General features: G+C 49.7%; 3 protein-coding genes across 18 annotated transcripts in view, besides 4 other annotated features; 2 read left to right on the top strand and 1 right to left on the bottom strand.

Annotated features, from left to right (window-relative positions):
* Window positions 1,894–2,689: an enhancer, noted in NCBI's record as "H3K27ac-H3K4me1 hESC enhancer chr16:31453737-31454532 (GRCh37/hg19 assembly coordinates)". NCBI's record gives its function as "activates a minimal SCP1, AML or CMV promoter by ChIP-STARR-seq in naive H9 embryonic stem cells {active_cell/tissue: H9 hESC(naive)}" and the evidence as "EXISTENCE:reporter gene assay evidence [ECO:0000049][PMID:30033119]".
* ZNF843 (zinc finger protein 843) lies at window positions 1,945–9,671 on the top strand. Of its 2 annotated transcripts, none has more exons than NM_001353381.1 (2): window positions 1,945–1,962; window positions 7,921–9,667. In NM_001353381.1, the coding sequence occupies exon 2, from the start codon at window positions 8,256–8,258 to the stop codon at window positions 9,300–9,302; it is 1,047 nt and encodes a 348-aa protein (NP_001340310.1). In that variant the 5' UTR covers window positions 1,945–1,962; window positions 7,921–8,255; the 3' UTR covers window positions 9,303–9,667. The 2 variants fall into 2 exon arrangements, with proteins under 2 accessions (NP_001340310.1, NP_001129981.1); NM_001136509.3 differs by lacking the exon at window positions 1,945–1,962 and adding an exon at window positions 2,316–2,469 and having other exon boundaries at window positions 7,921–9,671.
* Window positions 2,300–2,509: a silencer, noted in NCBI's record as "silent region_7418". NCBI's record gives its function as "represses an Ori minimal core promoter by ATAC-STARR-seq in GM12878 lymphoblastoid cells {active_cell/tissue: GM12878}" and the evidence as "EXISTENCE:reporter gene assay evidence [ECO:0000049][PMID:35858748]".
* Window positions 8,372–8,542: a silencer, noted in NCBI's record as "fragment chr16:31447884-31448054 (GRCh37/hg19 assembly coordinates)". NCBI's record gives its function as "represses an EF-1alpha promoter that drives an FKBP-Casp9 reporter gene in an ReSE screen in phorbol 12-myristate 13-acetate-treated (for megakaryocytic differentiation) K562 erythroleukemia cells {active_cell/tissue: K562(+PMA)}" and the evidence as "EXISTENCE:reporter gene assay evidence [ECO:0000049][PMID:32094911]".
* Window positions 9,124–9,624: an enhancer, noted in NCBI's record as "H3K4me1 hESC enhancer chr16:31446802-31447302 (GRCh37/hg19 assembly coordinates)". NCBI's record gives its function as "activates a minimal SCP1, AML or CMV promoter by ChIP-STARR-seq in naive H9 embryonic stem cells {active_cell/tissue: H9 hESC(naive)}" and the evidence as "EXISTENCE:reporter gene assay evidence [ECO:0000049][PMID:30033119]".
* Window positions 16,745–17,374, top strand: COX6A2 (cytochrome c oxidase subunit 6A2). Its single transcript, NM_005205.4, has 3 exons — window positions 16,745–16,852; window positions 16,954–17,090; window positions 17,248–17,374. Exons 1-3 carry the CDS (start codon window positions 16,780–16,782, stop codon window positions 17,329–17,331), a joined length of 294 nt encoding a protein of 97 aa, NP_005196.1. The 5' UTR covers window positions 16,745–16,779; the 3' UTR covers window positions 17,332–17,374.
* The window catches only part of ITGAD (integrin subunit alpha D), a 33,171-nt gene continuing 30,134 nt past the window's right edge, over window positions 18,600–21,636 (bottom strand). For 11 of the 15 annotated variants that reach the window (XM_011545835.4, XM_011545839.3, XM_011545837.3 and 8 more), the window contains 5 exons: window positions 21,457–21,534; window positions 21,147–21,260; window positions 20,902–21,003; window positions 20,528–20,638; window positions 18,600–19,090 (listed from right to left, as the gene is read on the bottom strand). In XM_011545835.4, the coding sequence (XP_011544137.1) occupies window positions 18,977–19,090; window positions 20,528–20,638; window positions 20,902–21,003; window positions 21,147–21,260; window positions 21,457–21,534 (519 nt within the window). In that variant the 3' untranslated portion in view covers window positions 18,600–18,976. Of the gene's footprint in view, window positions 19,091–19,536; window positions 19,695–20,527; window positions 20,639–20,901; window positions 21,004–21,146; window positions 21,261–21,456; window positions 21,535–21,636 lie in introns of those variants that run through there. The other 4 variants (XM_017023215.3, XM_047434071.1, XR_950791.3 and 1 more) reach the window with 3 other exon arrangements.

Raw genomic sequence — 21,636 nt, 5'->3', positions numbered from 1 at the left:
CTGAGTATTTTTATGATGAAGGGTGCTGAATTTTGTCAAATGCTGTTTTTACACCAATTGAAATAATAATGTTTTCCTTTATTGTATTGATGTAGTGTATTAATTTATTTTCATAAGTTAAGCTAACCGTACATTCCTGGGATAAATCCCACCTGGTTATCCTTTTTATATATTTCTGAATTTTATTTGCCGGTATTTTCTTGAGGATTTTTATGTCTATATTCATAAGAGATATTAGTCTCTAGTTTTCTTGTGATGTCTTTGTCTGATTTTGATAGTAGGGTAATACTGGCCTCAGAATAAGTTGGGAGGTTTTCACTGTCATGACTTTTATAACCTAATTATAAGTAATTCTTGCCAGGTACGGTGGCTCATGCATGTAATCCCAGCACTTTGGGAGGCTGAGGTGGGTGGATCACCTAAGGTCAGGAGTTCGAGACCAGCCTGGCCAACATGGCAAAACCCCATCTCTATTAAAAATACAAAATTTAGCCAGGTGTGGTGGCCGTGTGTGTAATCCCAGCTACTTGGGAGGCTGAGGCACGAGAATCACTTGAACCCAGGAGGCAGAGGTTGCAGTGAGCCGAGATCGTGCCACTGCACTCCAGCCTGGGTGATAGAGCAAGACTCTGTCAAAAAAAGAAAGAAAGAGAGAGGAAAGAAAGAAAGAGAATGAGAGAAAGAGAGAAAGAAAGAAACTCCTATAGTATTCCACAGGTCACATAGACCAACCCTGGTGCATTGTGGGAAGGGACTAAAAAGGGTGTGAACACCAGGAGTAGGATCACTGGGAACTATCTCAGCAGATGGCTGCCATAGCCACCAACTGACTAACATTCACTGAACACTCACCATGTGCCAGACATTGTGCTAAGCTCTTCACTTGGCTTATCTCCTTGAATCTTCCCAGCAACCTTATGAGGTAAGTAGGTGCTGTTATTATTGCCATGTTACAGATGAAGAAATTGAGATACAGAGATTAGATTCACCAAACTGCCCAAACTCCCACAGCTATTAACTGGTGGAACCAGGAATCAAACTCAGTAGGGTGTGCATATAATATACTTTGGGTGGTGGTGGTTGTTGTTGTTGTTGTTGTTGTTGTTGTTGTTGTTGTTGTTTTGAGACAGGGTTTCACTCTTTCACCCAGGCTGGAGTGCAGTGGCATGATCTGCAACCTCTGCAACACTGCAACCTCTGCCTCCTGGGTTCAAGCGATTCTCCTGCCTCAGTCTCCTAAGTAGCTGGGATTACAGGTGTGCACCACCATACCCGGCTAATTTTTGTATTTTTAGTAGAATAATTTTTGTATTTTTAGTTTCACCATGTTGGCCAGGCTGGTCTCGAACTCCTGACCTCAACTGATCCACTACCCTTGCCCTCCCAAAGTGCTGGGATTACAGGCGTGAGCCACCGCGTCTAGCTTTTTTTTTTTTTTTTTTTTTTTTTAAGAGACATGGTCTTGCTCTGTTGCCCAGGCTGGAGTGCAGAGGTGTCACCATAGCTCACTGCACCTTCAACCTCCTGGGCTCAAGTGATCCTCCCACTTAAGCATCCTGAGTAGCTGGGACCACAGGCGCCCACCACCAAGTCCGGCTAAATTTTAATTTTTTTTTGTAGAGATGGGGGTCTCGCTTTGTTGCCCAGGCTGATCCCTAACTCCTGGCCTCAAGCAGTCCTCCCGCCTTGGCCTCCCAAAGTGTTGGGATTACAGGCGTGAGCCACTGCGCTCAGTCTGTGTATCCTGATTACTAAATTTTGGGGTGTCTCCTTAAATTCTGTGCCAGAAGCCAGTGCCTCACTCGCCCTACCCTAATTCCACCCATCCCGGTGACCCAATGTCCCCGTTCAACCTGCACCATGGCGCTTCCCAGCCCCGCTCCTAGCGCCTCCTCCCGCCCCTAGGGGTCGCCGTCGCGCCGTCATTCCCTTCCTTCGATGCCCGGGCGAGACGCGCAAAAGGTGGGAGGAGGAGAGGCCCGCGTGTGTGCATGCGCATGGCGCGGACTCCCTCATCCTGGTCAGGGAGTGGAGGGGTTGGGTCTCAGGCAGCTGTTAGCGGAGTCCTCAGTGTCTCGGTCGTTTCTCCCTGTCTTGGTGAGGGCCAGGGGACAGGTCGGGGCAGTATTTGGGGGAAGCGAGAGGCAAGCAGGGCGGGCTGGATACGGAGCGCCCTATGACTGAGGTTAGGGAGGACGCCCGAGACCCCCGGCATCCTAGTCCTGGGCCGTGGGCTCCGGACGCCGGGCCAGGACGCCTCCAGCTCCCAGGGTCCCTTGCGGGGACCATGTTTCCCCACAGGCCCCGCGGCTGCCGGGTCCTCGCCACGTCCCCTTCCCGGAGCTACGCGCCCGGCTGGGTTCCGATCCGCCGTGTCTCTCGGGGGCGGCTCGCGGGGCAGGGGCGCTCCCGGCTCGGCCGCACGCCCAAGTGTCATGCGGGAGGTACGCGGGCACGGGACCTCACCGGGTAAGAGCGAGCGAAGGGGCCGGGCGCGGTGGCTCACGCCCGTAATCCCAGCACTTTGGGAGGCCGAGGCGGGCGGATCACGAGGTCAGGAGTTCGAGACCAGCGTGGCCAATATAGTGAAATCCCTTCTCTACTAAAAATGCAAAAATTAGCCGGGCGTGGTGGCGGACGCCTGTGGTCCCAGCTACTCGGGAGGCTGAGGCAGGAGAATCGCTTGAACCCGGGAGGCAGGGGTTGCAATGAGCCGAGATCTCGCCACTGCACTCCAGCCTGGGGAACACAGCGAGACTCCGTCTCAAAAATAAATAAATAAATAAATAAATAAATAAATAAAATCGAGCGAAGGGCCGCAGCCCGGGCCCACCGCCTCCACCTGAACACGCGCCTCCGCCGAGCCCCTCGACCCCGCGCCAGGCGAGGCTTGGTGGGGCGTTCCGTGGACCCCACACGCACGTCGGTGTTATCAGGAGGGAAGGGGCGGGCCAACACCTCCACCGCCTTTGCGGCCGGCCGTCCACCCTCCATTCTCCTGCTGGAGCCGTTTCCCAGCGATTCTCCGGCAGTGCTGGCTGCAGCACACCCGGCCCGCCTTAAAATCTCAGCCGCCTCCCCCGTCCCGGAGTCCTCCCCTGGGTTCTGTCCTTAACTGCATCACCGACCCCACATACACACAGGCATGAACACCCATCTTTTCACACGCCCCGTTTGCTTTCTCAGAACTTAGCAGATACTCTTAAGCTGAGAGGGTTTGGTGAGGTTAAAATTTATCTTGTGACATTGAGTCCAGCAGTTCAGAGCCTTGAACACCTCAGTACATGGCCTTGACCTTAGTTTATTACTTCTGTATTCTGCCGGGCGCTGCGGCTCACGTCTGTAATCCCAGCACTTCGGGAAGCCAAGGCGGGAGGATCGCTTGAGCCCAAGAGTTGGAGAGTAGCGTAGGCAACAATGAGATCCTGTCTACACTAATTATTTAAAAAAAAAAAATTAGCCAGGTGTGGTGGTGCACACCTGTGATCCCAGCTACTCAGGAGGCTGAGGGAGGACCGCTTGAGCCCAGGAGGTCGAGGCTGCAGTGAGCCATGATGGTGCCACTGCACTCCAGCCTGGATGATAGAGGGAGAGCCTGTCTCTAATACTAATAATAATCAATAATAATACTGTACGGTGTGCCCATTACTCAGGAGGCACTGTAGTAGAAGGATAAGCTGTGGCGGTAACTGAGGATAAACAGATAACCATTTAGCTAAAAAGGTTCTTAACCTTGGCTGTATGTTGTTACTCCTGGGTGCAGCACAGGCAAAATAATTTTGAAAGCTCCCAGGTAATCCTAATGTGCAGCTAGCACTGAGAACCACTGCTTTAACCCCTGAGGAAGGTAGGTAGGGCCTAGGGTGGCCCGAAGCACTGGGCCGGGCACCTTCAGTAGGGAGCAATCTCAACCCTTTATCCCTGTGAGTTACTCATATTGTAACATTTTCTGTGGGTTCCATGCTGTGAAAACAGTAAGCACTGCCCTACAGTAACAAGCATGCTTGACAGCCCTTGTGTCAGATCATCCATTGGAAGAGAGGGGAATCAAATCACAAAAGGCCAACTGGAAAACACACTCATCTAGGGAAGAGATTAGGAAAGCCTGGGCAAGGCTGATGACAGGGAATGTAAGAGAGGAGTTATAGTCACAGGAAGAATGTTGAGTGATAGTAGAAAACTAGATGGAAATTTCTGGCAGCCTGTGGTACTTTTAATTGGCACAAGGACTGATTTCGGTAACAGGTCCCCCTGACTCCCAAAGGAGAGCTGCGGGAATTGCTGTGGTCTTCCTAGGGCCCTCAAGACCATGAATGGGCTGGAGTCTGGACCAGTCTCAGGCACTAGCAAATTGGACAGTAGCTCATTCATACTGGTATAAGAGCTGCTGCTTTATCGAGGCCAGAGGCCCTTTCTTATATGGGGCAGCAGCTGCGCTCCTGGGAATGATTCCTACATAAAAGATTCCACATGGAAAAAAAATAAGCTCTGTGCATTCCATGAAGATGCTCATTACAGCATTATCTCTACTAATGATCTATTCCAATAATAAAGGAAATGAATACAATATAATATGGTATTTCAAACAAAGCCATTAAAATAGATCATTATGAAAGAATGTGAATGAATGAGAAATGTTCATAAGTTAAAAAAATGCTTATTTTTCAGAGAGCAAAATTAGACTCGTCTGTTGCTTGGAATGGCTTCCTCTTGCTCTGTGTCTAAACTATGATTATGGAGTAGTTAAAATGCATATGCATGTTGGCAAAGCCTGAATAAAATATGCAAACGTGAAAATATTTTTTGTAGAGGAGATGAAATTATGGAGGAAGGAGTGTGTCTATTTCAAAATTGTCCTAATGAGAAGTATTGTGGCATAGTAGTTCAGAGGAAGCTCCCTGGAGCCAAAAATTTTTTTACCGTATATATGGCTTTTCTAAATTACTTAAACTTTCTATGCCTCAGTTTCTTCATCTATAAAATGGGGTAATCGTTAGTATCTTGGAGAGTTGTTGTGAGGTCTAACCAATATGTGGAAACTCTTAGAATAGTACCTGGCATGTAGTAAGTACACTGTAAGTCCTGGCTATTTCAACTCCGTATTATTTATAGCTTAATAAAATATTTTAAAGATAGTTGGCCAGTCAGCACTGATACTCCTGTCTACCTGTGTTACATCTCAGAAGAGGCTTAGCCTATCTGTGCTGACACTTACTGAAGTATAAGTTATATATAAAACACACCCACTTTAAGTGTACAGGTTGCTGGTTTTTGGTGAATGTGTACACGGGCATAACCATCATCACATTCAGGGTGCAGAACTTTGCCGTCACCCTCTCATGCCCCGTGCAGTCAGCTGCTCTCTCCCTGACCCAGCCCCAGAGAACCACTGGTCTACTTTCTGCCCCTATGAGTAAGTTTTGCTTTTTGTAGAAATGGAATTTCACAGAAATTGAATCATATAGTATGTATTCTCTTGTGTCTGGCTTCTCTGGTTTAACATAATTTTGAGATTCATCCATTGCTTGCAGGTAACAGCAGTTCCTCTTTGTTGCTAGTATTCTGTTACATGGGTAAACCACACTTTATTCTTCCACCCATTGATGGACATTTGGATGTTTCTATCTTATGCCTATTATGAATAAAGCTGATATGCACATTTGTGAAAAAGTCTTTGTGTGGACATATGTTTTTATTTTCCTTGAGTAAATCCTAAGAGTAGAATTATTGAGTCATGTGGTAAGTGTACATTTAATTTACTGTTAACCAAAACTGGTTTCCAAAATGCCCAGGCCATTTTATATTTCCCCAGCAATGTGTGAGACTCCATATCCTCAGGCAACAGTTAGCACCTTCAGTCTGCTCGATTTTAGTGGGTGCATAAGGGCACTCCTTGTGGTTTTAATTTGCATTTCTCGGGTGACTGATGATAGCACATCACTTTTTTTGTATCATTATACTTTTAAGTTCTAGGGTACATGTGCACAACGTGCAGGTTTGTTACATATGTATACATGTGCCATGTTGGTGTGCTGCACCCATTAACTCGTCATTTACATTAGGTATATCTGCTAATGCTATCCCTCCCCCCTCCCCCCACCCCACAACAGGCCCCGGTGTGTGATGTCCCCCTTCCTGTGTCCATGTGTTCTCATTGTTCAATTCCCACCTATGAGTGGGAACATGCGGTGTTTATTTTTTTGTCCTTGGGATAGTTTGCTGAGAATGAGCACATCACTTTTAAATGGTAGCTCACTTCTAGGGAAGGAAGGAGAGCGATGAGTCAAAAGAAGTTCCACTGTTTTTGAGCTTAGGTGTCCAAGAGAATAAAACTGGTGCCACCAACAAAAGTGAAATTAGGAGTCAGTGATTTTTTGGCATAGGGGTATTAAATTTGAAGTGATGGCAGGATGTTAAGGGGGAAATAACTGGGTGGCAGCATGCTTTGCAGGCTTGGAGCTCAGTGGGAGGTCAGGTCCTGAGATAAGAGCCAAGTATCCGCTGAGAGGTGAAGCACAAACGGGGAGAGAGAGAGAGATGAGACCCAAGGATCAAGCCAGGGCTCAGAGTGGCCAGAAGCATCTGTTCCCCAGTCCCCATTTCCAAGTAATGGAAAATCCAGACTGACAGGCCTAATAGGCCTAAAAATAGATAAAATTAGCCCACTTATATATGAGCCACTGGAATACTTTCTAGTCCTATTGCAAACTCTACTCTTGGCTACTTTGATTGTTAAAATTGTAAATTAAAAGTTATCTATACCCTTTTTAAAAAAGAGTTTCAATATGGTTTGTGACAATCAGTTAATTATCTTTGTGGCCTGAGGGGCCCCCTTCTTTTAATCACCTTAACCAATAAAGCAATAATGTCTTTCTGAAGTTGATTCTTTTTGATGGTTTGTGTTTGGATGTTCAAGGTTAATGAGGAAATGATCCTTACCACGCTTTTGTAATTTTAATACAGACAGGGTCTTGCTTTGTTGCCCAGGTTAGTCTCCTGGGCTCAAGGATCCTCTGGCCTCAGCCTCCCAAAGTGCTAGGATTATAGGCATGAGCCACTGCGCCCAGCCTCTTGCTACACTTTCATTCAGGATAAAGATGGTAATATCCAAGACTACTGAAAGTCTTATAACCCCAATCCAAATTTTAAAATAAATCTTACTATTAAGAAGCATTGATTGGCCATGTGCAGTGGCTCACACCTGTAATCCCAGCACTTTGGGAGGCTAAGGTGGGTGGATCATGAGGTCAGGAGTTTGAGACCAGCCTGACCAACATGGTGAAATCCTGTCTCTACTAAAATACAAAAAAAAATTAGCCGGCAATGGTGGCAGGCGCCTGTAATCCCAGCTACTCGGGAGGCTGAGGCAGGAGAATCGCTTGAACCCGGGTGGCAGAGGTTGCAGTGAGCCGACATAGCTAGCACCACTGCACTCCAGCCTGGGTGACAGAGCAAGACTCCCTCTCAAAAAAAAAAAAAAAAAAACATTGATTATAGGAGGCCGGGCATGGTAGCTCATGCTTGCAATCCCAGCACTTTGGGTGGCCCAGGTGGGCCAACCGCTTGAGCCCAGGAGTTTGAGAGCAGCTTGGGCAACATGATAAAAACCAGCTTCTACCAAAAAAAAAAAAAAAAATGCTGGGCCTAGTGGTGTGCAACTACAGTCCCAGCTACTTGAGAGACTGAAGCGGGAGGATCACTTGAGCCAGAGAGGCAAAGGTTGCAGTGATCAGAGATCGTACTACTGCATTCCAGCCTGGGCAACAGAAATAGACCCTGTCTTAAAAAAAAAAAAAAAAAAAAAAAAGAAGGAAAGAAAAAGTAAAATAGTAATAAAGAAGCATTGATTACAGGATTCTGAAAGCAAAGTCTCCTTTGCAGTTTGTAGTAAAATTTTTCTGTGGTTTTCTCTCCCTCTAGAGAGAATGATGGCTCTGGGATCTGAAATCTTTCCTTCCGCAGGAACTGGACACGGCAGTGAGGACCAGCGTATCCAAGAGGATGGACTTAGTGATGGGGAACACCCAGGGACATGCCCGAGAGCCTCAAGAAACACCTTCAGATGACATTGCCCAGCGTCTTACATTAGAGAACTCTCCAGACAGCCCCCGAGGCCTGGGGCCGGGTGCTGCTCCCAGACTGTGAGCTCGTGGCCACGGGAAGCCTGAGTGCGGCAGAGGCCCCACAGCTGCGCCAAGTGCGGCAAAGCCTCCCGTACAGTTACTCCCTGAGCGGTCATCTCCGAAGCCCTGCTCATGAGAAGCCTCCCCTTTGCCCTGACTGTGGAAAGCGTTTCAGCCAGAGCTCCTACCTGCTGCAGCACCGGCAGATTCACCCAGGGCCGTCAGCCCTGCAAGTGCAAGGCCTGCGGGAGGGGTTTTACTCAGAGCGCATCCCTCCTCCAGCACTGGCGGGTCCACAGCGACTGGCGAGAGACCTTGTCGCTGTCCCCAGTGCGGCAAGACCTGCTGTGGCCGCTCCAACCTCATCAAGCACCAGCGAGTCCACTCGGGAGAAGCCATTCGTCTGCGGGAGTGCGGCAAGGGTTTAGCGGCCAGCTCTGCTGCTGGCTCACCAAGGAGCACACACTGGCCGAAGCCCTGCGTCTGTCCCCAGTACCAGCAGGTTTTTGGGGACCGGTGGAAGCTGATCGGCCACCAGCGAATTCACACAGGAGAGTGTGTCCCTTCTGCTGCTGCAGCTGCGGTGACAGTGTCAATGAGAAGACCTCCCTCTCCCAGCGCGTCCTTCCGCACCCAGGGGAGAAGACCTGCAGGGGTGGGAGCGTGGAGAGCGTCAGCCTCGCACCCAGCTCAGTCGCCCCGGACAGCACCTCTGGGCTCCGGCCCTGTGGGAGCCCCGGGTCCTTCCTTCAACATCTGCCCCCATCCACACTCCTGCCCCGACCTCCCTTCCTTTATCCTGGCCCCCCACTCAGTCTCCAGCCTCTGGTTCCATCCGGCCTTCCCGCAGTGCCTGCAGTGCCTCTGGGAGGCCTGGAAGTTGCCCAGGTTCCGCCAGCCACCCAGCCGGCAGCTCAGCAGGAGGGGGCGATGGGGCCCAGAAGCTGTGCGAGCGCGGGACGGGACTCGCGGGAGGCGGTTCAGGCCCCAGGCTACCCTGAGCCAGCCCGGAAGGCCTCGCAGCACAGAGCGGCCGGACCGCTCGGCGAGGCCAGGGCCAGGCTTCAGCGACAGTGCCGAGCTCCTCCACCGCCCTCGAACCCACACTGGAGAGGAGCCCTACCAGTGTTTCCGGTGTGGAAGGCCTCCAGCCGGAGGTCCAACCTGGCCCGACACTGAAGAACCAGCGTGCTGCAGCCCTGGGTGGAATTGTTGCAGCCGCCGGTGGACTGTGGATCTGAGATGCAGTCCCCTCCCTCCACACAGACCCGCTCAGGACGGCTTTTCTGTATGGCAGATCTTTCTCAGAAGTGCTGGGGGCTATTTTGTTTGTTTTTTTTCCCCTGAATTCTCGCTCCTTTCCCTTATACATTAAGGGATTTAGGCAGGTGCGGCTGCGGGCGGTGACTCACACCTGTAATCCCAGCGCTTTAAGAGACCGAGGTGGGAGGATCGCGTGAGCCCGAAGAATTTGAGACTAGCCTGGGCAGCCTAGCGAGACCGCATCTCTGTGAAATAAAAATAAAACGAGCTGGTGTGGTGGCGCTGGCCTGTAGTCCCAGCTACTCAGGAGGGTGAGGCGGAAGGATCGCTTGAGTTGGAGAGTTCAAGGCTGCAGTGAACTATGATCAGGCCACTGCACCCCAGCGTGAGAGACAGAGTGAGACCCTGTCTCTCTAAAATAACTAAAATAACAAAAGGATTTAGGTAGGTAGTAGGCAAAGGTATATTATCGAAGTAACAATAATATACAAGGTATATTATCGAAGTAACAATAATATACAAGGTATATTCTTGGTGTGGACAGGAATAATATTGTGTTATCTTAATATTAGTGATTATTTCTCTCTCCTTTTTTTTTTTTCTTGAGACGGAATCGTGCTCTTTTGCCTAGGCTGCAGTGCAGTGGCATGATCTCTGCTCACTGCAACCTCCATCTCCCGGGTTCAAGCGATTCTTCTACCTCAGCCTCCTGAGTAGCTGGGATTACAGGCGCCCACCACCACGCCCAGCTAATTTTTGTATTTTTAGTAGAGAGGGGGTTTGACCATGCTGGCCAGGCTGGTCTCGAACTCCTGACCTCAGGTGATCCGCCCACCTCAGCCTCCCAAAGTGGTGGGATTATAGGCATGAGCCACCGCACCCAGCCTCTCTTGTGCTTTTTAGATAAGTATTTTTAAAAGTGTTTGTTAGTTGTCGGCTGGGCGTGGTGGCTCACGCCTGTAATCCCAGCACTTTGGGAGGCAGAGGAGGGCGGATCACGAGGTCAGGAGATCGAGACCAGCCTGGCTAACACGGTGAAACCCCGTCTCTACTAAAAAAAATACAAAAAAATTAGCCGGGCATGGTGGCGGGCTCCTGTAGTCCCAGCCAAGCTGGAGGCTGAGGCGGGAGAATGGCGAATGGCGTGAACCCGGGAGGCGGAGCTTGCAGTGAGCCGAGATCGCGCCACTGCACTCCAGCCTGGGCGACAGCGAGACTCCGAATCAAAAAAAAAAAAAAAAAAAAAGTGTTTGTTGGTTTGTTGGTTGTCTTAATGATGTGCTATTAGAGTGAGGAAGAAAAGTTACCCTATGAGAATTTAAACTGCATGAAAGTCTGTGGTAGCATTACTGGTTCAGTTCCAAGCTTGCTACCTCAGTCCTTGATGCCTCTTTCTCCCAATCCAAGTAGTATCAGGCACTGCCGTCTACTTGTTGTACCTCAGAAGAGTTTTTCGACAGCACCCCGTGCCCTCTGTGGCCTGTGCTCTCTCACAGGTGCAAGTCCTGTCATCATGAGCCTGGACTGTTGCAGAAGACTCCTAGCCAATCTCCCCTGCTTCCCGCCTCTGCATTCTGGTTCAGCATCCATAGAACCTACCAGTTATTATAGATTCCTCCCTCAGACTCCAGACTCCAACACTAAATCTGATGTCAGTCTCCTGCCTGAAAGGATCTCCTGCCTGCCACTCCCACCCCTCCACCCCCTCCGCTGACCCCAGCAGGGCCTACAGAACAGGGTTCAAATGCTTTAGCGTGGCATGCATGCTTCTCCATTGGGCTTCGCCTGACCTCTGTGCCTTTGCTGGCCAGGGCCTCCTGCACCTCTGTGTCTTTGCACTTGATTTATTTCTTTCCACTGCCCAAAATGACCTTTCCCCTTTTCTGTCTCCCAGACTTGCCCTACTCATTCATATGAGCCCCACTTCCACTTAGAGACTGCCCCACCTCTCGTGTCACACCTGACGTGGTGAGTGCTCCAGTGGCATTAAGAACATAGGGCATGTCTGTCTGGTAACCTATCTCCCCAGCAGACTGAGCTCCACGAGAGCAGAGACCCTGGTGCAGGGCCTGGCTCACAGTGGGTGCTCAATTAATATTACTTATGTGAAGGAACCACTTCCAGCTGCTCAAGTATTCTATGCTAAAACTTGGGTTTCTTTCATCCTTGTTGTCCTCCCAAGATACAATGTGTACATAATTGGAAAGTTAGCCAAGGTGACTATGAAGGTGACCCCACCCAATCAATCTATGTCTTCCTGGTTACTGTGCCTGTCATTCGATGATTCCACGGTTATGTCTATAGTGATAACAGAAAAAAGCAACTGAAAACAATATTATTTACTCGGGTCTCGTGCATCTCCTCCACACATTTGTAGAAATGAGATTACCACAAATTGCCAAGATGGTTACATCAAATTTTCAGCAGCATCAGTCATAGGACAAAAAGGCCTTTGAGTGTATTTTTAATAATCAGCATTTACTGGTGGCAAAATACTGGTTTAGAAAATATCTGAGATTATGGTCAGGCACGGTAGCTCACGCTGGTAATCCCAACATTTTGGGAGGCTGAGGCAGGTGGATCACCTGAAGTCAGGAGTTCAAGACCAGTCTGGCCATAATTTCAGATGGTGAGATTATAGTGAAACCCCATCTCTACTAAAAATGCAAAAATTAGCTGGGCGTGATGGCACACATCTACAATTCCAGCTACTCAGGAGGCTGAGGCTGCAGTGAGCTGAGATCGCACCACTGCACTCTAGCCTGGGCAACACAGTGAGACTCCATCTAAAAAAAAATCTGAGATTAATAGGTTGCCATTTTAGGCGCTCTTTATAGACCAGCTGGCCTAGTGGTCCTGGTTCTGTAATATGTGAAGTAAAGGTCTCGCAGGGGAGCACCAGTTTCAAACTCTGTCCTAGTTTGCAGCCTTGGCTGGAGTGACCCCAGTCATGAGGCAAACTGAGCACAAGTGTGCAAGTGTCATGGATTCAGCCAGAACATCAGTGTTCCCAGCATCAGACACAGATTCGGGAGAAATCAAGTCACAGTGTAGAGATGTATTGTGATGTGTCACTACACTATTATGAAATGGAAGAAAATAAAATTACAAGCCTCAACCTTTAAACATTTAGCAACTTGGGCTGTATCTCAATGTGTAATTTATTTGTCTCACTTCATTTTCACAAACATTAAATCCCTTCATATCAAGTGCCTATGAGGTTTAATTCATTAAAGGCATGCATACTCCAGAATGTTTATTAAATACATTTCTATCATTTCTACAAAAGAAGCCCCAAAACTTCAATAAAATATGGATCACAGTACAGGGGAACAGAAATCAGAAATGTGCTGGTAAAAGTTTAGAGATGTGGTATAGCTTCATAAAAAATGTTTAACAATAAATTAGGACTTAAAGCCCCATTTCTAACTGGCTTTTACGAATAGGGGATTTGTTATTTCACATAACTGAAAAGTCTTAAGAGTTCAGCTCTTTCTCAATTCCGGCACATCTTGACTCAGGGATTCACATAATATTAACAAGGCTAGATCTCCCATTTTTCAGGTCTGCTCTGAAAATGGCTTCAATATTGGCTTCAATTGAAGGCCCCAGCCTGAGGCTCCAGCAGCTCCAAGTCCAGTTGAAGTATAATTGTGTTTCAACAGTCCAAGAGACAGGCCTGAAAATTGGAACTCATGGACTTGTGCCCCTCCCTACAACAATCATCCCAGCCTGGGCAACACAGTGAGACCCATCTCTACAAAAAATTAAAAAATTAGCTGAGCACAGTGGTTTGTGCCTATAATCCCAGCTACTTGGTAGGCTGACATAGGAGGAATGCTTGAGCCCAGGAGTTCGAGGCTGCAGTGAGCTATGAACACACCACTGCACTCCAGCCTGGGTGACAGAGCCAGACTCTGTCTCAAAACAAAATACAAAAAACAATCACTACGGCCAGGTGGGGTGGCTCACGCCTGTAATCCCAGCACTTTGGGAGGCCGAGGCAGGCAGATCACTTAAGGCCAGAAGTTCGAGACCAGCCTGGCCAACATGGTGAAACCCCATCTCTACTAAAAATACAAAAAAGTAGCCAAGCATGGTGGTGTGCACCTGTAATCCCAGCTACTCAGGAGGCTGAGGCTGAATAATCACTTGAACATGGGAGACAGGGGTTGCAGTGTGCCAAGACTGCACCACTGCACTCCAGCTTGGGGGACAGAGTGAGACTCTGTCTCAAAAAAAAAAAATCACTATGACCTGGAGAATAGAATGCTCTGATTGGGTAGGCCTGGATCATGTGGCCCTTCTTGGAGCTAGAGGAGGGAGTCAACCCCACTTGAACTTGAACTGAGAATAAGGGGGGCAGGGGTGTGTGTGTCAGTATCAGAAAAGAAGGCATAGATATATTGGTCATATGACACAAAACAGTAGACATCCACTATCACATAGCCACTGGCCCCTCCCAAGTGCAGAGGGAGCTCAGAGCCCCATTTATTTAGAGTCTATGTCCCTGTTGCCACTGGACCCCACCCCAATGCTGTCTGAGCTCCATCTCTCTGTACCTGTTCGTTCTAGCTAACCCATGTCCTGTATCACAGTTGTTTTTCCAGGACTATTCTAATTTCAAATACGCTGTCCCTAGGGCCCCCATAAACATTTATACTTAGTAGATCACATGTAATCGATCTTTGCTTTAGAAAATGTGGTCATGGTATGCAGCATCCCAGGAAGAGGGCACAAGAGAAACTGACCCTGAGTCATGCCTCCACCTCCTTCACCACCAACAGCTGAGATACTCTGAACAGAGGCTGAGATGCTGCCCTCCGGGGTTTATTTAGCACCTGGTGAGTTTGTTCTTCCCTCTGCCTAAAGTGGAGGAAAAATTAAACCTCTAGAAACTGAAAGTGTTGGCAGCAGCCAGGTTAAGAACTGTGTGAGTGAGAACTTACAGAAACAATGGTGAGTGCACAGCCTGGAAGAGACAGCTCTGCACACCCTCTAGAGAGGCAGGTAAGATGGTGACAAGCCCAGAAAAGCACAGACCACCTGAGCGGAGGTCTCTGGGTACCTGGGCAAGTGCACCTCGTGATGGTGACAGCAGCCCAGGACAGAAGTGGCCCTCCTCAGGGCGTTCTTGACATCCCAGCAAGAAAACCTCTCCACAGGAGCTCCCAAGCTGAGAACAAAGGGATGGGAATTCCCAGGGAATTGTTTGGCAGCAACCAGAAAAACTCTGAGGGGCCTTTTAGGGGAGAAAAGAAACCTAGAACCTTTTCTTCCTTTTTTCCTTCTTTTTTTTTTTCTTGAGAGAGTCTTACTCTGTCACCCAGGCTGAAGTGCAGTGGCACAATCTTGGCTCACTACAACCTCCACCTCCTGGGATCAAGCGATTCTCCTGCCTCAGCCTCCCGAGTAGCTGGGATTACAGGCACGGGCCACCACACCCAGCTAATTTTTGCATTTTTAGTAGAGATGGGGTTTCACCATGTTGGCCAGGCAGGACTCAAACTCTTGACCTCAAGTGATCCGCCCTCCTCATTCTCCCAAAAGTGCTGGGATTACAAGCGTGGGCCACTATGCCAGGCCTCTAGAACTTTGTCAAGTAAAAATACCTGTCTTCATGTCTGTTTTCTCCAGGAGCCATTATCTTATATACGTAGGGAGGGGGCTATGTGTAGAGGGAGATGCCAGGTATCTTTAACTGGAATAGGGCCCCATCTTCTCTGCAACAATGCCAAAGTCCAGCTGGGAAAAAAACTGTAGGAAGAATTCTATTATAGCTCAGTGAGAGCTCAGGAATAATTTTTGTAACACTGTATAACATTTGACTGCTCAAGGAGGTTATTTTTTTTAAAAATAGCAGCAGCTTAAAGTTGGATGGAACATACTGTTCAGTTTATTACCAATGAGAAACAGGTATAGAGCCCCTTCTTGAAAATATATCTTCCTCGTTTTTTTTATATATTAAATTCAGATTATATGTCTATATAATTCATTCTTCTTTTGTATATTAAGTTCATATTAGTACATCAGCCCTTGATCAAAGCTAGAAGCTTCCTATTGGATTGTAATTCTGAAAAGGCATTGTTGTAGGGTTAACCAAAGTAACAAGGTTCAAGCATTCATTACATACATATTTTTAGAACACCTCCTTCATGCCAAGGTCCCTGCCCGTTGCTGAGGACAGAACAGGCAGATGTCATCCCTGCCTGGTCTTGTGGCTTTCTTGTGACCTGCTTTGATAGAGGGTTCACACCAGCCCTGTCTAGGCTTGCTTTCTCCAAGTAGTCATATTTTTCAGATTGAAATAATGCACTTTGCAGTAGACACCTGTCAGGCTTGTGGCTGCCTGGAACCTTTTGAATACTCATCCTAGACCTGGAGATTTTCCCTACAATTCCTGCCTCCCTAAGGCAGAATCCAGAGCTCAGTTTCCCATCCCCTCCTGCAGCTGGGGGACCTAGGGGTTGCCAGTTGGTGCAATCACATAATTCTTTCAGAAAAGAGCGACCCAGGATACAGGTTTCATGAAGAATCTGTTTTCAAGAGGGGATGAGGGTGGAAAATTCTGGTTTTCCAGGGCAGCCTTAATGAAGCTTTTGGCATCCAGGGTCCAGCAGTGTGAGCTGTGGGGGTGTCACTGCAGCTGGCCAACGGAATGACTTGTTTATGACTGTGCAGACTGTAGGCATCTCTGGCTATATCAGACATAGTAAGCTACCTAAGATTCTCAATTACTTATCTTCTAAAACTAGTAAGAGTGAGTTCTGTTCTTTGCAAAGAACTGTGACTAATACATATACTGAACTACTGTTACCTGCCAAAATCCAGGTTGACACATTCCTACCTTACATAAACTTCATAAAAATGATGTAAGGGCCGTGTAGTGGCTCATGCCTGTAATCCCAGCACTGTGGGAGGCTGAGGCGGGAGGATCACGTGAGCTCAAGAGTTCCACACCAGCCTGGACAATATAGTGAGATCCCCGTCTCCAGTATTTAAAAAATCTTTTAAGGTACGAATTATTATACATTTTACAGCTGAAAACACTGAGACTCAAAAAGACACTTAATTCATTCTACAAATATTTATTAAAGCCCAACTGTGTGCCAGCCACCAGGCATAGAATAGGGAACAAAATAGTTTCCCTGCAACTATATAAAAAGAATGGCATATTGTACTTAAATGCCTCCTTGCCAAAATAAGAGGCACAGGACAACAGCTGTCTGGAGATGACCTCAAGCCAGTCAGGCCCCATTTTAAATATAGAAACCCCTAAGAATAGCCGCCAGTGCTCCAGACTCAACAGGTGATTGGCCCAGAGAGGGGAGGTGACCCCAGGCCCCAGGAAAGGGAGCGAGGACAGCGCTGGTTCCCGGCTCCCCGCACCATCATGGCTTTGCCTCTGAGGCCCCTGACCCGGGGCTTGGCCAGCGCTGCCAAAGGAGGCCACGGAGGAGCAGGAGGTGAGTGGGGAACGGGCGGATCCGGGGGCTCCCCTACCCTGCCCACCTGTTCACAGGCCCGCCGCCCCAGGACCGCCGCGCTCACCCCGCTCCGTCCGCAGCTCGTACCTGGCGTCTGCTGACCTTCGTGCTGGCGCTGCCCAGCGTGGCCCTCTGCACCTTCAACTCCTATCTCCACTCGGGCCACCGCCCGCGCCCCGAGTTCCGTCCCTACCAACACCTCCGCATCCGCACCAAGGTACGCGGGACGGGCGCGCGGGCGGCACGGGGGTGCTGCGGGGGCGGGGGGGGGTGCTGCGGGGGCGGGGGGGGGTGCTGCGGGGGGGGGGTCGCGCGGGGCGCGGACTCCGGACTCACGGCGCTCACGCGCGCTCCCTCCCCCGCTCTCTCCACAGCCCTACCCCTGGGGGGACGGCAACCACACTCTGTTCCACAATAGCCACGTGAACCCTCTGCCCACGGGCTACGAACACCCCTGAGGCCCCGGACGCCCCCGGACACAATAAAGGTGTGAAGCTTCGAGTCTGCGGCTCTGTGGGGAGGGCGGGGCCACGGGGAGCGCGCCCAGAGGCGCCCGCTCCGCGCATGCGCCCAGCTTGGTAAGCGCTCCTGCTCCGCGCATGCGCCTAGCGCGGTGGGCGCTCCACGTGCTTTTCCCACGCCGCTGATACGGAGGTGCTCGAGGGAGCCTCCTCCACTCACAGGTAGGCGATCCCAGCTCCCTGTCTCTCACCTGGTAATAATGAGGCCTCCCTCTCACACACACCTATTAATAATTAGGGCTCTAGGCTGTAATGGGCTTCCGCGTACACCGAATCCTCACAGTAACGCTGGGAGCAGGGTATAAATTTAGTTCACCTTCTCCCGAGGAAGACCTGAGATTCTTGGGAATTAAATGACTTGTCCAAGTTCCGGCAGCTCGGCAGAGCCCCCATGGGAGCCCAGGGCTGCAGATCCTGAAGTCCCACTTCTTGCCTGACACCTGAGCTGCTGGTGTCTGTGAATCCCAGCTCTCTGGATTTCAGACGGAGGCTCCACAGTCCTGTGTGTGAGGCCTTGGGACCTAATGCTGGATTTGGAATCTTTTGATAATTCTCTATAATCTTTCTTTCTTTTTTTTTTTTTTTTTTTGAGACGGAGTCTCGCTCTGTCGCCCAGGCCGGACTGCGGACTGCAGTGGTGCAATCTCGGCTCACTGCAAGCTCCGCTTCCCGGGTTCACGCCATTCTCCTGCCTCAGCCTCCTGAGTAGCTGGGACTACAGGCGCCCGCCACCGCGCCCGGCTAATTTTTTGTATTTTTAGTAGAGACGGGGTTTCACCTTGTTAGCCAGGATGGTCTCGATCTCCTGACCTCATGATCCACCCGCCTCGGCCTCCCAAAGTGCTGGGATTACAGGCGTGAGCCACCGCGCCCGGCCTATAATCTTTCTTAATGAGTCTTCTATATGGGAAATCACATGCTCCTAGCCTGGCTCTCCTGGCTTCTGAGTACCTCATTCAAGGGGGACAGGAGTTCAAATGAGCTCTGGACATTTCTTCACCTCCTAGGACAGCCTGCCCACTTACCATTACAGAGGAACCTGAAGTGTGTGAAGAAACCCATGACCAATGCATGCCTGCGTGCACGTGCATGCACATGCACACACACACACACACACACACACACACACACTCTTTGACCCTCTCCCCTGATACACACCTCTCAGCCCCATCAAGAAAAGATGACCTCAGGCTCCCATCACCATAGAAAGTGAAAAAACTTTTTCAATGCCCACAAATAGGTTCCCCCGACTATTCCCAGAGAGGCACTCAGGTCCCTGGGTTATAGCTCTTCCACGCAAGGAAAGTGTGCTATAAACATCCTCATTTCATGTGACAATTCTTAAGCATATGAAAATTTATGCTGGCACCATGCCTGCTTCTGTAAAAAGTGGGTCATTGCTGAAAAAGATGGACAGATATGTAAAAACATTACAATCTCTATCTCTCCGAGAAGGTGCTTAGCACCTGGTAGGTTGCTTAGGCCAGTGCAGATCTATGCAGAAGTTGTTTCCATGTAAGTTGATTTATGGTTGCAAGCAAGTCCAGCCCACAGTGGTAGAGATAAACAGGAAAGTGGATTATTAGGACAAAGGCACATTTGGGGCCACACAGCTGAAATCGTCCCCACTGAATGTGGCAGTGTCTTCAGGCTTGTCCTCCAGCATTTCCTTGTAGTGGCGTTTGAAGAAGCCAAGCTATCAGGGGAAATAAATTAGAAAAGCTGGGTAAGTCCGGGCCCGGTGGCTCACACCTGTAATCTCAGCACTGTGGGAAGCTGAGGAGGGTGGATCACCTGAGGTCAGGAGCTGGAGACCAGCCTGGCCAACATGGTGAAACCCCGTCTCTACTAAAAATACAAAAATTAGCTGGGTGTGGTGGTGCGCCTGTAATCCCAGCTACTCAGGAGGCTGAGGCAAGAGAATCGCTTGAACCCGGGAGGCAGAGGTTGCCGTGAGCCAAGATCATGCCACTGCACTCCAGCCTGGGCAAGACAGCAAGACTCCATGTAAAAAAAAAAAAGAAGAAGAAGAAAAAGAAAAGAGAAAGAAAAGAAAGAAAAGCTGGGTAAGAGGGCAGGGAAGAAAATTGGGAATAAGAGGAAGCTGAGAGAGAAGAGGAGGCAACAACTAAGCTAACTTACGTTTGTGTGCGAGAACATTTATGTGAACAGCTATCATATATCGAGCATCTGCTGGCCCCGAGCACAGTAGGTACACACACGACCCGTGGCAGGACAGCATAGATCCAGGCAGATCTGTGCACATGCCCTGGCCTCATTTCTCTCTCACTTCAGCCACTCTGTGATATAAGCATTATTATCATTTCAAAAATGAGAAACGGCCGGGCACAGTGGCTCATGCCTGTAAACCCAGCAGTTTGGGAGGCCGAGGTGGGCGGATCACATGAGGTCAGGAGTTTGAGACCAATCTGACCAACATGGTGAAACCTCTCTCTACTAAAAATACAAAAAATAGCCAGGTGTGGTGGTGTGTGCCTGTAGTCCTAGCTACTTGGGAAGCTGAGGCATGAGAATCTTTTGAACCTAGGAGGTGGAGGTTGCAGTGAGCTGAGATTGTGCCACTGCACCCCAGCCTAGGCAACTGAGTGAGACTCCATCTCAAAAGAAAAAAAAGAAAGAGAGAAACAGGCTTAGAGAGGTGGAGCAACTTGCCTAACATTAAACAGTGAGTACATGATAGAGCCAAAATGTGTGTCCAGGCCTGTCTGCCTCCACAGTCTGAGTTCTCACTATATCAGCCAGTCTGTAGGAGGGCTTGGGTTGGATGCTGGTGGTGTCAAGAATGGGATAAGGCCGGATGAGGTGGCTCACACCTGTAATCCCAGAACTTTGGGAGGCCAAGGTGGGCGGATCACCTGAAGTCAGGAGTTCGAGACCAGCCTGGCCAACATGATGAAACTCCATCTCTACTAAAAATACAAAAAACTAGCCGGGCATGGTGCAGTCCACCTGTAATCCCAGCTACTCGGGAGGCTGAGACAGGAGAATCACTTGAACCCGGGAGGTGGAGGTTGCAGTGAGCCAAGATCATGCCATTGCACTCCAGCCTGGGCAGTAAGAGTGGAAACTCCATCTCAAAAAAAAAAAAAAAAGAGTTGGATAAAACACTTGCCTTGTACAGTGTGGCTGTGATGAGCGCCAGCAGTAGCAGAGCCCCCACAGAGCTGCCCATGATGATGGGAATGGCATTGTAGACCTCGTCTTCTTCTAGCACCATCTCCATCTGATTTAGAGATCAGAGAGCATCCGGCCTCATGCCATCCCAGATGCCTCCCAGGTTCCGCAACCTTTAACTCTCTCCCCTCCTTTCTGAGGCTCTGCTCCAAGGAGTGAGACACAGTAGCACCCGTGCCCTTAGGGACAGCTGTCCTGCCCAGAGACTTTCACCCTCCTCCCGCAAGGCTTGCAAACCCCCCACCCAGCACCACAGATGTAGCCCTAGGGGTCCTCTTTCCAGCTGGTCGCTGCCCTCCACATGGTCTCTACCTGAGCTCTCATAAATGCCTCCTGTCCTGGAAGCTGGGAGTACACGGATGTGTCGAACGTAATTTCAGCCACACTCACGACCAACACCTTCTTCTGCAATGTCTGCAAAGGGGTTGGGGGAAACCTGTGGAACTGGCTCTGGGGGAGGCTCAGAGCTTCGGGGGTGCCCTGGCTTGCAGATGGGCACAGACATGCCAGGTCCTGCCTGAGTCTGGGGCAGGGGCTCTGCCGCTGCCCCCACACACCTCGCGGACCCAGCCGAAACTGAGATTGCCCTTCAGGGTGAAATCCAGCTCCTCCTGGACGCTGAAGGAGGGGACGTCACAGCGGAACTGCAGGCAGTCAGCAATGGAGCAGTCCTGGGGGCAGAAGAGGGGTGAAACTGAGGGGTTCTTCCCTGAGGAGGGAGCCATAGGAAAAAATATGGTCAGGTTTGGGGTGGGGAACAGATGAGCAGTTACAGGACATGCACGGAACTCTGTGGCCTAGCAGTACATTTCCCAGTATCCCCGGTGGGGGCTGATCTTGGCGGTGGGGGTTCAGGGACTTTCTCACCAGCATGGGACTTCTTGAAATCTGGGTCAGGAAGTCAGAATGCTGGGGAGGTTTTCTCTCTGAAACACAGGGGAGACTCTGGGAAGAGAAAGAAGCACTTAGCCACAGAATGAGCAACATGTCCCTGGTAAGAGGGAGTGCTGTGCTGTGGGATGTCAGTCTGAAGAAAGAGGAGAGATA

This window comes from Homo sapiens, chromosome 16 (genome assembly GCF_000001405.40).
Source record: "Homo sapiens chromosome 16, GRCh38.p14 Primary Assembly".
NCBI classification, from domain to species: Eukaryota; Metazoa; Chordata; class Mammalia; order Primates; family Hominidae; genus Homo; species Homo sapiens.
Note: the sequence above shows the minus strand (reverse complement) of the source record. Positions and strands in the feature narration are given on the sequence as shown.